At 39.6% G+C, this 14,938-nt stretch overlaps 1 protein-coding gene across 4 annotated transcripts in view, besides 1 other annotated feature; it reads left to right on the forward strand.

The window, feature by feature from the left end:
* Positions 1-11,162: 11,162 nt before the first annotated feature.
* The window catches only part of CDH7 (cadherin 7), a 140,086-nt gene continuing 136,310 nt past the window's right edge, over positions 11,163-14,938 (forward strand). For 2 of the 4 annotated variants that reach the window (NM_004361.5, NM_001317214.3), the window contains exon 1: positions 11,923-12,061. The gene's annotated coding sequence lies outside the window, so the exon portion shown is untranslated. Of the gene's footprint in view, positions 11,292-11,922; positions 12,864-14,938 lie in introns of those variants that run through there. The other 2 variants (NM_033646.4, NM_001362438.2) reach the window with 2 other exon arrangements.
* Positions 11,864-12,365: an enhancer, noted in NCBI's record as "H3K4me1 hESC enhancer chr18:63418189-63418690 (GRCh37/hg19 assembly coordinates)". NCBI's record gives its function as "activates a minimal SCP1, AML or CMV promoter by ChIP-STARR-seq in naive H9 embryonic stem cells {active_cell/tissue: H9 hESC(naive)}" and the evidence as "EXISTENCE:reporter gene assay evidence [ECO:0000049][PMID:30033119]".

Genomic DNA, 14,938 nt, shown 5'->3' on the forward strand with positions numbered 1-14,938 from the left:
AAGAGAATAACAGATTTGTATATACTCTTAATACTGATGAACCTTGTCCTATTATAACAAGGACATAGAGATACATCTGAAAATATCTGAATTTTTACATTTATTTAAAAAATATATAATAGATCTTTTGATGCTCAAGTTATTTTACCAATATAGTTTATTAATACCTAATGTTTTAAAGTATTATTTAAAATGCCCTTTAAATTTACAAAAGTGAGTATATTTTATTTCATAATTAAAATGTTAATGCCTCAAAAAGTTAATTTTTTTTTATTATACTTTAAGTTTTAGGATACATGTGCACAACGTGCAGGTTTGTTACATATGTATACATGTGCCATGTTGGTGTGCTGCACCCATTAACTTGTCATTTACATTAGGTATATCTCCTAATGCTATCCCTACCCCCTACCCCCACCCCATGACAGGCCCCGGTGTGTGATGTTCCCCTACCTGTGTCCAAGTGCTCTCATTGTTCAATTCCCACCTATGAGTGAGAACATGTAGTGTTTGGTTTTTTGTCCTTGGGATAGTTTGCTGAGAATGATGGTTTCCAGCTTCATCCATGTCCCTACAAAGGACATGAACTCATCATTTTTTATGGCTGCATAGTATTCCATGCTGTATATGTGCCACATTTTCTTAATCCAGTCTATCATTGTTGGACATTTGGGTTGGTTCCAAGTCTTTGCTATTGTGAATAGTGCCACAACAAACATGCGTGTGCATGTGTCTTTATAGCAGCATGATTTATAATCCTTTGGGTATATACCCAGTAATGGGATTGCTGGGTCAAATGGTATTTCTAGTTCTCGATCCCTGAGGAATCGCCACACTGACTTCCACAATGGTTGAACTAGTTTACAGTCCCACCAACAGTGTAAAAGTGTTCCTATTTCTCCACATCCTCTCCAGCACCTCTTGTTTCCTGACTTTTTAATGATGGCCATTCTAACTGGTGTGAGATGGTATCTTATTGTGGTTTTGATTTGCATTTCTCTGATTGCCAGTGATGATGAGCATTTTTTCATGTGTCTGTTGGCTGCGTAAATGTCTTCTTCTTTTGTGAAGCATCTGTTCATATCCTTTGCCCACTTTTTGATGGGATTGTTTGTTTTTTTCTTGTAAATATGTTTGAGTTCTTTGTGGATTCTGGATATTAGCCCTTTGTCAGATGAGTAGATTGCAAAAATTTTCTCCCTTTCTGTAGGTTGCCTGTTCACTCTGATGGTAGTTTCTTTTGCTGTGCAGAAGCTCTTTAGTTTAATTAGATCCCATTTGTCAATTTTGGCTTTTGTTGCCATTGCTTTTGGTGTTTTAGACATGAAGTCCTTGCCCATGCCTATGTCCTGAATGGCAATGCCTAGGTTTTCTTCTAGGGTTTTTATGGTTTTAGGTCTTACATTTAAGTCTTTAATTCATCTTGAATTAATTTTTGTATAAGGTGTAAGGAAGGGATCCAGTTTCAGCTTTCTACATATGGCTAGCCAGTTTTTCCAACACCATTTATTAAATAGGGAATCTTTTCCCCATTTCTTATTTTTGTCAGGTTTGTCAAAGATCAGATAGTTGTAGATGTGTGGCATTATTTCTGGGGCTCTGTTCTGTTCCATTTGTCTATATCTCTGTTTTGGTACCAGTACCATGCTGTTTCGGTTACTGTAGCCTTGTAGTATAGTTTGAAGTCAGGTAGCGTGATGCCTCCAGCTTTGTTCTTTTGGCTTAGGATTGTCTTGGCAATGCAGGCTCTTTTTTGGTTCCACGTGAACTTTAAAGTAGTTTTTTCCAATTCTGTGAAGAAAGTCATTGGTAGCTTGATGGGGACGGCATTGAATCTGTAAATTACCTTGGGCAGTATGGCCATTTTCACGATATTGATTCTTCCTACCCATGAGCATGGAATGTTCTTCCATTTGTTTGTATCCTCTTTTATTTCATTGAGCAGTGGTTTGTAGTTCTCCTTGAGGTCCTTCACATCCCTTGTAAGTTGGATTCCTAGGTATTTTATTCTCTTTGAAGCAATTGTGAATGGGAGTTCACTCATGATTTGGCTCTCTGTTTGTCTGTTATTGGTGTATAAGAATGCTTGTGATTTTTGCACATTGATTTTGTATCCTGAGACTTTGCTGAAGTTGCTTATCAGCTCAAGGAGATTTTGGGCTGAGAAGAGGGGGTTTTCTAGATATACAATCATGTCATGTGCAAACAGGGACAATTTGACTTCCTCTTTTCCTAATTGAATACCCTTTATTTCCTTCTCCTGCCTGATTGCCCTGGCCGGAACTTCCAACACTATGTTGAATAGGAGTTATTTTTTTTGTTTAACTGCATTATTATGCTTTCAGTGCTATTTAAATATGTGCGATTAAAAATATAAAAGTACACTATTGTATTTGTGCTTCTTATGACTCTTTTTAGTAATTATCAAGTTTTTTAAAAATTTTTAAACCAAAAGTAAAAATAGCAAAACAAGTTCACTATAAGAAGTAGAAACGGAGAAATATAAGATCATGTACTATAAATGTGAAAAATATTCCAGGAATAAGCAAAATAGTTGCATTTTTTAAAGAAAAGAATTTTTACAAACTGGGTGGTATTCACTAACATCTAGACCATCTTACTAGGAGAGAGGAGATTAGAATTACTTAAGAGAGTTTCATAACTAGTCTCTATTGAATGGGATGATTAATATTTTGCTTTTCTTGCTTCTGCTAAAGTTATCTAAATGCTTTCAAAGATTTCCAGGCTTGGGAAATCTACTGGTTTAATATCTTAAATTATATCTTAATATTTAAATACTTATTAAAATAATATCTTAATATCTTAAATCAGTAGATTTGCCAAGCCTGGAAAACTTTGAAAGCGTTCCATTTTACTTGAAATGGAAAAAATAAAATTGGTCAAAGGTAATTTTCAAACTCAGAAACAGTAAGGTAGACATGACCTAGTGGACGGTAATCAAGGTTTCCAGGTATGTAATAATGCAAATGGGCTGGTACTGAGTTTTCCATTCACATCAAATACACACTGCACACAACTGTCATACACAAGGATGATAAGATCTAATTATGTCTGATGGTTAAATGACAAAAATAAAAACCACTTTAGGCTTTGACGTCTACCTCCTTGTATACCTTACCTTTGATATTATACTAGGAATCCTTAACTCACATGCCTACAGAATCCTGACACCTAAATTAAGGGGTAAGTTGACTATGGTGAACTGGAGTATACACGGCCCATTTCAAAGAAATAGACAATCCTGAAGTTCAGTCATAGACGAGATTATCAAAATGAAAAACCAGATATGGTCAGATTTTCAGTGAGTTTAACAGAAGTCAAAAATAGAGTTGCATATATCAGCTTCCAATGACAAACCCTAAAAGACACTTAAAACTCTTTTTAAAAAAGCACTATGTGGGCCAAAGTTAATCTGCAGTTTGGGTGAAATCAGAAGAACTGTTAGCTGGCACACCTTGATTAAATCAAACTATAACACCTAAATATTATTTGCCTTACTTTTTTTTTGAATTCATGCAAATATGAGACTCACTCTAGACAAATTTCAAGGTCAATTAATGAACAGTCTTTTGGGGATTAAGAAAGACATCTTTTAGTCTGTAAGGAAATATTTAAATGTTTGAGCACCTAACAATTTTTTAACAGGTAATAAAGCTGTAATTTTTCATAAAAAATTTTGAATAAAATTATTTAGTTATTTTAAATTACTTTTGGGTAGAAACTAATAGTTCTTTCATTTTTCATTTCATTTTTTAAAATGTTATAGTGATGGGATACTTGCTATGTTCCCTAGGTTGTTCTCAAACTCCTGGGCTCAAGCAATTCCCTTGCCTTAGCTTCCCAAGGTACTGGGATTACAGGCAGGAGCCACTGCACCTGGCCTTTTTGATCTTTCATGGAATAGAGGAACTGAATTATGAGATTCTAAGACGAGCTTACTCTCATGCCATGAGACTACATGGACTATTCTTAATTTGACTTTATAGTCCTCTAAAATATATGTGTTTTACTATAAAGTGACTGTCTCATTCAATTCTTATTCTTCTAAGAATATGAAGGCTGGACACGGCAGCTCACGCCTGTAATCCCAGCACTTTGGGAGGCCGAGGGGGGTATATCATGAGGTCAGGAGTTCAAGACCTGACTAGCCAAGATGGTGAAAGCCCATCTCTACTAAAAATACAAAAATTAGCCGGGCGTGGTGGTGGGTACCTGTAATCCCAGCTACTCAGGAGGCTGAGGCAGAGAACTGCTTGAACCCAGCAGGCAGAGTTTGCAGTGAGCCGAGATCATGCCACGGCACGATGGGTGACAGATGTCGCTTGGGCGGCAGAGCTAGACTCTGTCTCAAAAAAAATATGAATTATGATTTACGTTAGTATTTAAATAAAATTTCAAGGTGTGATCAATAGCCACATCTACAGAAATATTTATAAAAATATTTATAATTTTTAAATAATTTATTAAAATGTTTACAAAGCTTTTTATAATTTATTAAAATATTTATAAAATTATTTATAAAAATACATTCAATTTTTACAATTGTAAATTCACTATAATACAAGCTATAACAAATAATTCAAAACAAGAAAGGCTACAACCAAGTTCTTATTCCATTGCTTAGAAAAGCTAGAAAATGTAAATAAAAGTCCTGTTTGGTATTTGAAATACAAAATATTAAATAATAATGGTCTGTATATCTAGGATCTTTAGGAATCTTGCCTTGGATATTGCTGTATGCATCAATCAGGCTTTATTACTGGATTTGGATTTTTATTTCCATACATGAAGTTTGCCACGAGGTCATAAATCAATTCCTTTACTTTTCTAAACTTCAGTTTTGTCACTGATAAAATAAAAAGAAATATGGGTGTCTTCAAAGATCTCTTATATAGGTCATATCATGCATATGGTATTGAGCTCAATTATCTTCAATGACTGCCTCTGGTAATTTAGTTGCTTAACGAGGCTCATTAACCCTTTTAGACCATTATTTGTACCCACAACTATATTTGGAAGTAAATTGTTACATTACATACTGTAAGTATAACATTTTTCTGTTAGTGTTAAATGTTAAATAAAAAGTCCTAATTAAATAAATGTGGCATAATGATTGTTCATTTCCATCAAAACTTATTCTCACACAAATACACAAATAGGCTAGAAAATACTGTGTTTATTTTGTTTCTTAGATCCATTTGTTTATGTTGTTTCTAATATACAGCATCACTCTGAATGAATTAGTGTTTTATTTAATCTTTTATAGGCTGGAGCCCTCCCTCAATTTTGGATTTAGAGTTATCATTTTGCTAGATAAGGAGAGAGTGAAGGAGATGCTTGCTACATCCCTTTTTAATCGTTCAGACCTAAAAGTGGAAAGTGGAGACACTTGCAGTTCACAAAGATAATGACTGCCTCAGAATTCACCTTTGTGCACAAAGTAGTTCAAGTTCATAAAAGGATTACTGCTCTTCACCATAAGTATCTTATAGGGTGGCAGTATTTCAATATTTTATTAAACATCCTTCTCTTCCTAAAAGTTCACCTTTGAATAAACTGGCTTATTTTATCTAATCTTTCTTTCTAAGGCATGTAGTTTTTTCTCATATTTTTCCCCTTCTGAATTTTCCTTTTGAATATGAGTTTAGCCTCAAAGTCACATACACCAGGGAGTTGAACTCTTGGCTCAATGCGTCAGCTGGAAGTAGGGTCATTTCTGCCTGCACATTTTATGTGTGTTAGGAGAGCACTAAATAAAATTGAGTGGCACCAGCTATAAAACCTGCAGAACCCAGGGCAACCCAGCTCTCTGGATCTACATGCAGGGAGCAATCAGGTTAGTTCTTCTGAGAAAAAAAAGCAGTGGGCATGGAGTGGAGGGGGGAAACAGTACTTCAAGTACAAATGCAGGTGGACCGAGTGAGTGCATGCTTAGGAAGCTCTCTTTCTGTTTAGGTGAGTAGAGAATTATATATATCTCATTTTAGCTAAAAAAAAAATTAATTCCTTATGCTTCTGGAAGATTAAAGTTCTCTGAACATTCTTTCAATTTTCTGCTGTCCCTTCCTGTCTGTATCCAACTCATGTTTCAAGGCCCAGATGAAATGTCACATTGGTTAATGGTTTTAGGACTCTCCAGTAGCATGTGCTATCTTCCTCCTTCAAATCCCATACCCTACTACTTGCTATTTGCTTAGTGAGTTTAGCCTAATCTTTCACTTGTATGTATTTTAGTTACATTCATGCCTGTACCTGCTTGGGGCCTTGGTCTTACTTTCCTCGGTAGATATCGCAAGTTTTGGCATAGAACCTGCTACATAGCACATACTTAAGAAATATTTTTGAAATGAATTGAGATGTTGCAAAAATCTACTTTTTAAAAAAGATTCTATGGCTTATCACAAGTGAAAGATAGAGAAATGCTTAGCAGAAATTTGCATTATTTTTTTTCTCTCTTGAGGTTTTAGAAGGCTTTTACAGAACAACTATAATTCGAGAGACAGTGTGGGCCTAGCTGTATTATTTCTGACAATTTTGATTTGAGCTGCTTTTTAAAAATATTTTTTGTCCCAACTATTCTGAATCCAGAGATACATTCACACATCGGTGGTATCATGTGCTATTTTAAAAAGTAAGTGTTCCCCTGGTTTGACATTTGACACCAAATTGAAATCACATGTTTATCTGTTTGACTTTGTTCTTCAGAAAGAAAATATTGAAATTTGACATGTAGTGGAGAAAGTTAAACTCCTTCTTTAAGACGTTAACCAATGACACACACCATCACAGATTTTCTCATGCCTGAAAAGAAGCCCTAAATATCTGTAGGAGACTGGAATAATAGTAGGAACCACTTCGTTTGCTGAGCACGGGGCTAAAATGGACTTTTACCCTTGCTTTCCAACCCCACTAGGTGTCCTTTCATTCTCATTCCTTTTCTGAAGGATTTTTCTAAGTGGTTCAGGGAAGGAGTAACTTACTTGCAAACTCCCAGCTGAAGCACCATCTCTGGCAGCACAGGCTGAAAGCTGCACAGAATTCTTCCGTGAGGATTTGCACTTACGTTCTGCCAGATTACATAATAAAGTTCCTTAGACCCCATCAAACATCTTTGCCTCTGCCTTTTTTTTTTTTTTTCAGATGGAGCCTCACTCTGTCACCCAGGCTGGAGTGCAATGGCGTGGTCTCTGCTCACTGCAACCTCTGCCTCTCAGGTGCAAGCGATTCTCCCACCTCAGCCTCCTGAGTAGCTGGGACTACAGGCACGTGCCACCACACCCGGCTAACTTTGTATTTTTTGTAGAGATGGGATTTCTTTATATTGGCCAGGCTGGTCTTGAACTCCTGACCTTGTGATCTGCCCGCCTCGGCCTCCCAAAGTGCTGGGATTATAGGCCTGAGCCACTGCGCCCGGCCAACTTCGCATTTTCTAAATATTTCTGTGGCGTCTAAGCAGCTCCTTTATTCTATGAATATTTTAGGGTCTTTTAACTGAGTGGTATACTCTCCAGGTAAGCATTCATTTTTGTGCAAAACTGAATTTTTTGGATAGTGAAGGAGGAGACCTTGAGTATATCGTAAGAAGCAAAATTGTTGTATTACCTCAGATTTTGGATTTTTCTAGTTTGGTTACTCTATGAAGTGGCATGGTCATGAGTGATGCGGTTTGGGGGTTGACTCCATGACGCCAATCTGAGGTACCAACATCTTTCTTCTTTTAGTGATTATTTATGCTGCATTAGTGATGACTCTAGTCAAAAAATCTTTACATCTATTTATATTTTCTGACTATATCCAAGGAACTTTCATATAATTCCAGTGCCACAACTAGAGTCCAGGCCAAGGTTTTTCCCAGCAACTGGATTTCTAAAACGACTTCCTAAACATTTCTTTCACCTCAGGTCCAAGACTGACTTAACAGGGGCTAGGGTGTTTCTTCTTCTAATGCAAATATGATCACCATTTTTCTTCATAACACTCCTCAATAAAGCCCCTTTTGTCCTCACAGCACATTCCAAACATTTTTCCTTCATTCAAGGTTTCTCATCATATGGCCCCTTTGTTGTACTCCCACATGTGACATTTTGTGCCCACCTCATCACGTGGTGTGTGGAGATATACACACCTCTTTATTTTCAGAGTAGATTGAGAAGTTCCTGACGTTAAGAACTAAATCTTATTTATCTTTGTGTTCCCATGCCCCAGTTGAGGAATCATATAGCAGGGGTTCAGTAAATATGCACTAAATGGCTACCTTGTGCTAGAAGTCCTTACTTTCCAGAAGATGGAATCATATTTAATTAGATGAACTAAACTGAAGGACATAGATACCCTCAGAACAAATGTTAAGCATTAAATATAAATTTTTATTATTATTCACAGTTTATATTGGGAGAAACATTCACAAGAAACCATAAGTGGTCCCATGTTCTAAGACCTTTTGTGGCCTTATGGGGAGAGCCTCCTACCTTCTGCCATATCTCTGTTTTCCTACCTGAGGTTCTCCAGAATGTTTAGAACTGCTTAGTTCTCAAGGATTACATCTGTTCTCTTCTTAGCTACCAGATACCAGGCCTATGTCTTTGGCTTTAGAGTAAGATCATAATGGAATGACTATGAATAAAATCTGATCAGCAATCTCATCAGAAAGTACTTGCTTGCATCGTATCTACTTTGGATGATAAAACACCTAAGAATATACTTTTCATACAAACAGAAACCGTGAAAGAATTCTCCTACATTTTACTGATTCCTCCTTCTCCAAAATATAGTTTCAGAGCAGGTTAACTTTTCTTAATTTAATCAAGACAGTGAAAATAAATTGAAAAGAGGCTTTTTAAAGTAGGATAGAAAAGGGAACAGTTATTCAAATAATGCTATATACAACACTAAAGACATAAAGCCTTCAACTGAGGGAATTTGAAAATATATACACACATATGAATAGAAATATTATAACATACATTTGAAATGTATAAGAAAACATGAAATTTTGTAAGTAAGACATTATGGCTTGCATTTGTAGTTTATGGAATCTTAAATAATTGGCAGTGCCTTGGGATTCATCTACTACAGTTTTTTTATGTTGTTGTTGTTGCGTTTCTCAGAAAACTGGGTCTTCTAATCAAACCAGAAATTGTGAGAAAAAGAAAGAAGAGGAGAAAGGACCTAATAAAACATGTGTTGACCCTAAACTTGACAACAGCTTAAGCCTGGTGAACTCTTACTTGCTGTTCTTGATGCTGGGCTTCCTCCTAAGATAAAATATAAACATCTTTCAGGGCCTGGAAGACCTGGAAAGATCTATTCCATATCTATTACTACAACATAATCCATCTCCATTCTCCTCCCTTCCTGCAGTACATACATCCAACCCCTTCCTGCCGCAGACATTCCCCTTGTTTATTCTGCCTAGATCATTCTTCCCTCAGAGCTGCACAACGCTGACTCATTGTCATCATTACATTTCAGCCTATGTGCCATCACCTCAGAAAGAGACCATCCCTTAGGTAAAAGGTGTCCCTTGGTTTCTGTCTGTATTATTCCCAGTTCTTACCCTTGCTCTAGGTTGTGTCTTTTGGACAAGAAGAATCTAGACCTCCCTCTAAGATCAACAGCTGTTAGTGTGGGAACCAGGGCTAGAATTTTGGTTAACTGAAATTACTTCACCTGTTTTGGATTCTGTAGAGGTTACTGAGGAAATTTTTTAAAAGGAAGGCACATAGAATGGTTTAAGAAGAAAGCGTGCATTTGGAATCAACATTTATGTGGAGTCATAAGAAGAGAAAAAATATGAAAACTTGAGGAAAAATATCTTTTTCTTAAAGGGCCTCAAAACATTTTCATTTTCTATGCAATGTCTTTTGACCAAAACAAGCCGGTAGATGAAAACAGTGCAGTTTCTGATTCCCAATCACAATATGACCTCCTATAGATGAACAACCCAGGCAATCCAAGAGCAGTTTAAAAATAGCTTGGTATGGTCAGATTTGTGATAAATGCTAGATGGGATACAAACACTTCTTTATTCAAAAAATGCTTACTATGGGCCGAACATGTGCTGTGTCTTGATGATATTGAATATTAATCACAGCCCTCCTGAAGCTTTTAGTTCAGAACAGTTATAAGAAAAAATCTCATCCCAGAAGTCAGTTCGTAGGCAAAACAAGGCAAATATATGTAATGTTACCAGAAAAATCTGAATTGAATCTAAAGATTGTACTACATGAGCCAGAATAATTGAGCATTTTAACACAGAAAAGTATTTCAAAGAGCTCAAAGATGAAGCCAAGGTTTGATACCTGGCTACCAGGTGAATGATAGTGCCCCTGACAGAAAAGAACATACAGGGAAAATCCAAGCTAATATCTAAAAAAAGATACGGAGGTCTTTTCTAAGCATCTTGAATTTGGGTGATGGCTGACAGCTGAGTGGAAATGGACCATGAAATGGTCATCCAAGCAGCCCTGGATCTGGGGAGCTTTGGGGTTGGAGTTAGAACTTTTAAAATGCATTAATGTTAGGTAAGCAACATAGGATGGTATCTGGAACTTAACAGGAGTCCATAATTGCTGTCAGAATTATTAGCATAGAATTCGGTTTTAAACATTGACTAAATTGAATGGGCGAGGTGGGGGAGGCATGGCGCCAGTTAAATAGCCAGGAGAGGCTGGACTGGGGACAGAAAAGTGTGCTTGACTGCACAAGAAATCAGAGATAATGGTACGGACAAGCCTAAGCCCATGTAACTGGTATCCGAAGAATTACTGCTAAGGTTAAGTAAGAATAAGTGCGTAAGAGAAAGAGGACACTTTCCATTGGTAGAGTGAGAAAAATGAAAGGAAGGTAGTTGGAAATGATCTCTTCCCCCTCCTAACCCCTATGACAGAACACCCAGTCATCAGATTAAAGCGAGCACCAGAGCAGGGGAAAACAAAGCGTGCTCAACTCCAGGGGCTGCACCGCGCTCTAAAGAAAAGACCAGATCCTCTTCCTTCCTTCTTTCCTTCCTTCCACACCTTGCAAGGGTCCTCTGTCCCGCACTGCGAGTAAATCATACACTTTGGAAGTTTAGCATTAGAGAGCCCAGCAGGGGAGAAAATTGTCTGCAAGTTAAAAAAAAAAAAAAAAAAAAAGTAGAACTAGGGCAGTCCGAGGAGATTGAAAGGGCAAAACTATCAAGCAAGAAAACTGTAAGTTCTGATTAGTTTTATGACTTTGCCTTCATGCCTCAGGAGCTCAACTGATCACGGCTTTCACGACAGGCTAAGGTGGGTGTTGGAGGGGCAGCTTGAAAATACCCTCAAAACTCTCCTCCAGCTCCGTGCTTTCAGATGCAAATGCCTCACGGAGAGATGGATGGGCTGCAGCCCCTCCTACTTTCACCCCTCTTCTTTATTTTCCTGCGAAGGAATCCATCTGTACAGATCCGCCAGGCGGGAGGTGGAGGAGGGTGCGCGAGGGTGCGCGCGTGTGTGTGTGCGCGCGTGGCGGCCGAGCGGCTCCGTCTTCGCGTTCTTTTCCAGTAGCCCCCACCGGGTCTCTGGGAGGCGCCGAAGTCTCAGTGGCTCCCTGGGCCGGCCTCCGACAGCGCTGACAGCAGGCGCCCGCCGCCCACCATCGTCGCCCTCTTCCCCTCCCTCTTCGGCCCCGGCTCCGGCGCGCTCTCTCCTCCTCTCCTGCGCGCCCTCTCGCCCTCTCTCTGGCCGCGCGCTCCCGCTGGCTCCGGACCCTGCGTCTCAGCTGCCCGGGCGAGCCGGAGGGGCCCCTCGCAGTGAGCAGACGCAGCGGGCCCCCGGCGCCCGAGGCCGGGGCAGGGTCCCCGCGCACCGCGGAGTGGGCTGTGATTGGAGGAGGAGCCCGTGCCGGGCGGGCCCGAGCGGGTGTCGAGCCGGTTCCTCCAGTCTGCCCCGCGCGCGGAGCTGCGCGCACTGGGTCCCCAAGAGCCCGCGGGCGTCCGGCAGCCGAGCGCACGTTCTTTCGGATGCACACGCCCGGGTCCCTGGCGTCTGACGCCGTGGGGAGGGCAGCGAGGCCCCAGGTGAGTGTGTCTGCCTGCGCGGGGCTGGGGAGGCGCCGCTGGGCAGATGTGCGCCCTTGCTGTGCGCCTTTGGAAGCAGGACTAATCAGTGAGCGGAGAGCGGGCGGGGATGTCCGTGTGGAGTTTCCCTTGGCGTCCCCAAGTTACTGCGTGTTGCAGTGAGATGTGGCTCTGCAAGGCAGGACAGGCTTGTGGACGGAGGCGGGGGCGTTTGGCCCGGAAAGCCGGTGTTGACAGACACCAGGTGCGACACGAGGAGTAGTAGTTGAGGGTAAGAGCAAATCCCGGCACTCTCCAGGTGCAGCGGCAAACATGGGCAGGCTGGAGCACTCTCCTCAAAGAGGACCACAAGCAGGCTCCTCCCTCAACCTCGGACTGATGGGGGCACAACTCCGCGCCGGCTGTGCCGCCGGGTTCTGCAGAGGTCTGAGGCTGGAAGGGGGTATGCGCCGCTTTGGGCAGGAGTCCTTTGAACCATTCGCTCTGGACACCTTTTACCTTTCGTGAAGGTGGAGCTCACTTCAGGGTGCTTTGCTTTTTTCCCCTGTAATTAGTATTCTGCTGATCTGGTTCATCTGCATCCTGCGTCCCCTCCGCCTGGCAGTACCTTAAGTGTGCGCTGGGAAAAGGGCGCCCTGCTTCTCTGAATGCATGGTGGACTTCTTCATGGGTGCACATGGTACACTGCTACTTGCCGGTATTCAACCTTCCAGTGTGGATTAATGAGAAAAGACCCGTTATTCTGTACCGCTTCACGTTTTAGATCGTTAACCCTACGGATTTCTTAAATGTCATAGTTCAGGTGAGTAAAGATTGGCAATGAGTTCACCCAGCACTGGGCAAATGGCAAACTATTGAGAAACCATCAAGGATTGGGTGTATCAAGGCTTTGGAGATCTGCAAATTGAACGAGGAATGTACTTATAACATCTTTTGCTTTGCAATAAATATCTTGTCTCTATTAGATCGTTTATTAAGTGAGACCTTTACGTAAGACTTGTCCTCATAATTTCTGTAGCTACTAGACAGGTGTTCAGATCATTTTTCATAGAGAAGTAGATAAACATAACTTTATACAAAAAATAAGAGAAAAATGTAAGTGACTTGTTAATATATGGCCCTTGCCAAGTGACAAGTATGTATTTTTAAAAGCAGATAACACCTCACACAAAAAATGTGTATTTTAAGAGTTTAAGAGCAGTAGCAGTCTTTTTTTCTAAAGGAAAGTTTGCATAGACACAATATCTAAATAGTTTTAAGAGAGTCTTTATAAAGGCAAATTGTTATGGGAGAAAAGAGCTAAGAAAAAAAATTAATTACATTTGAAGCGTTCAGTAACTCACCAAGAATTACTTCTTTCCTAAAGAACTAGTTAGACTTTGGTTTACCTAGGATATTTTCTTGTTCTATATGTCAAGGGGAAATGCATGAAGAATCCTTTTCTTTATTTTTAAGGCTATTTTGAACAGTATGAATTAAAATGCAAAAGAATTGAGACAGGTAGGAAGACTGGCAACTTTGTGGAAGTCTTGCTTCTGTGTTAGTGTTTAATATGGAGTGGGATAGCAGAGCAATTAGGTAACATCCAACGTCAATAGTCTTATCTGGGAAAGCTAGCCGAGTCTGTCTGAGGAAAGAAAAATAAAGAAAACAATAATCAGTAGCACAGACCATCACCCTGCTAAAAGCTATTAAGGTTTGCAGCTTTAATAAAAGGGCATTGTGCACTTACAACGTGAGATATTATTGTAATTAAGGGCTGCAAGAGGTCATTAGAATTGTGTTAATCACTTTACAGACTCACAAGTCTTCTTAAGTCTACTTTTATTGATTTAATAGCACAGAGCTTTTTCCTTTCTTATAAAAGGATAATTGTAAAGCATCTATATTACTGCAATTTACCCTTGAATTGACTCTAGTGTTTAGTGTCCAATGAAGAAGAGAGGGTGGAGAGCACGCGGAGTTGGCCACTGTTCAGCCTTCCTTGGCCTAAAAATCAAATGACTGTCTCTCCTGGGCACTAGTGTCTTTACTGGTTTCCCTGTTATTCAGCATTTTGCTTTTTTGATGGCAAAGCTGATATAAACTCCTCAGAGTGTATACTGATATAAGGAAGTGAATATATTTTTGTGTTGAGCAAATACTTTTTTGTCAGATCTTTCAGAAATAATTTATAAAATACTAAACTCACAAATTGTTCTGTGCTGTGGATATTTATTGCTGAATGGTTACAATCTTCCTGGATTTCATAAGGTTTTACATTTATTGCATTAATAGCTTGTATCACATCACAGTTCTCTCTCTCTTACACACACACAAATGTCTTTTACTTGATTGGAAGTCTTCAAAGCCTTAGCTTAAATTGGAAGTTTCAGGAACTTCTAAAATAACTAACATGCATTAGTTGATTGCAAAGGGTTTGAGATGGAAGCTTTTTCTTCCTTGGATGAAGGAATCAGATGCTACTTGGTGGGGTGATAAAGGGGAGCTGAGGACAAGGAAAGAAGACATGTGATCAGAGTCTTGTGTGTGACCATCTCCCCAGCGTCTGACAAGCAGAGCAGATCTAGCTGTAACCAGCAATACACGAGTGCCTCCTCTGGGGATTTGCTGGTTCTGCAGAAAGATACCCCTGCAAGCACTTCCCCCTTGTTTTTCTGCAAGTCTCACAGATAAAATTACCAGTTCAAATGAATATGCAGACATCTGTCCATATCTTCATTTCAGATTATAGTATAGATTTTCATTCTGGTAGAATCTCTTTTCTGCTATTTTGCAAAGTGTTTATTGAAACCTGCTGACTTTTATTGAAGTCACATAAATCACACGTGGCCCAAGGTAAATACAAGGGCAAATTAAAAATTATAGTTGATACAG

This window comes from Homo sapiens, chromosome 18, assembly GCF_000001405.40.
Source record: "Homo sapiens chromosome 18, GRCh38.p14 Primary Assembly".
Lineage (NCBI taxonomy): Eukaryota > Metazoa > Chordata > Mammalia > Primates > Hominidae > Homo > Homo sapiens.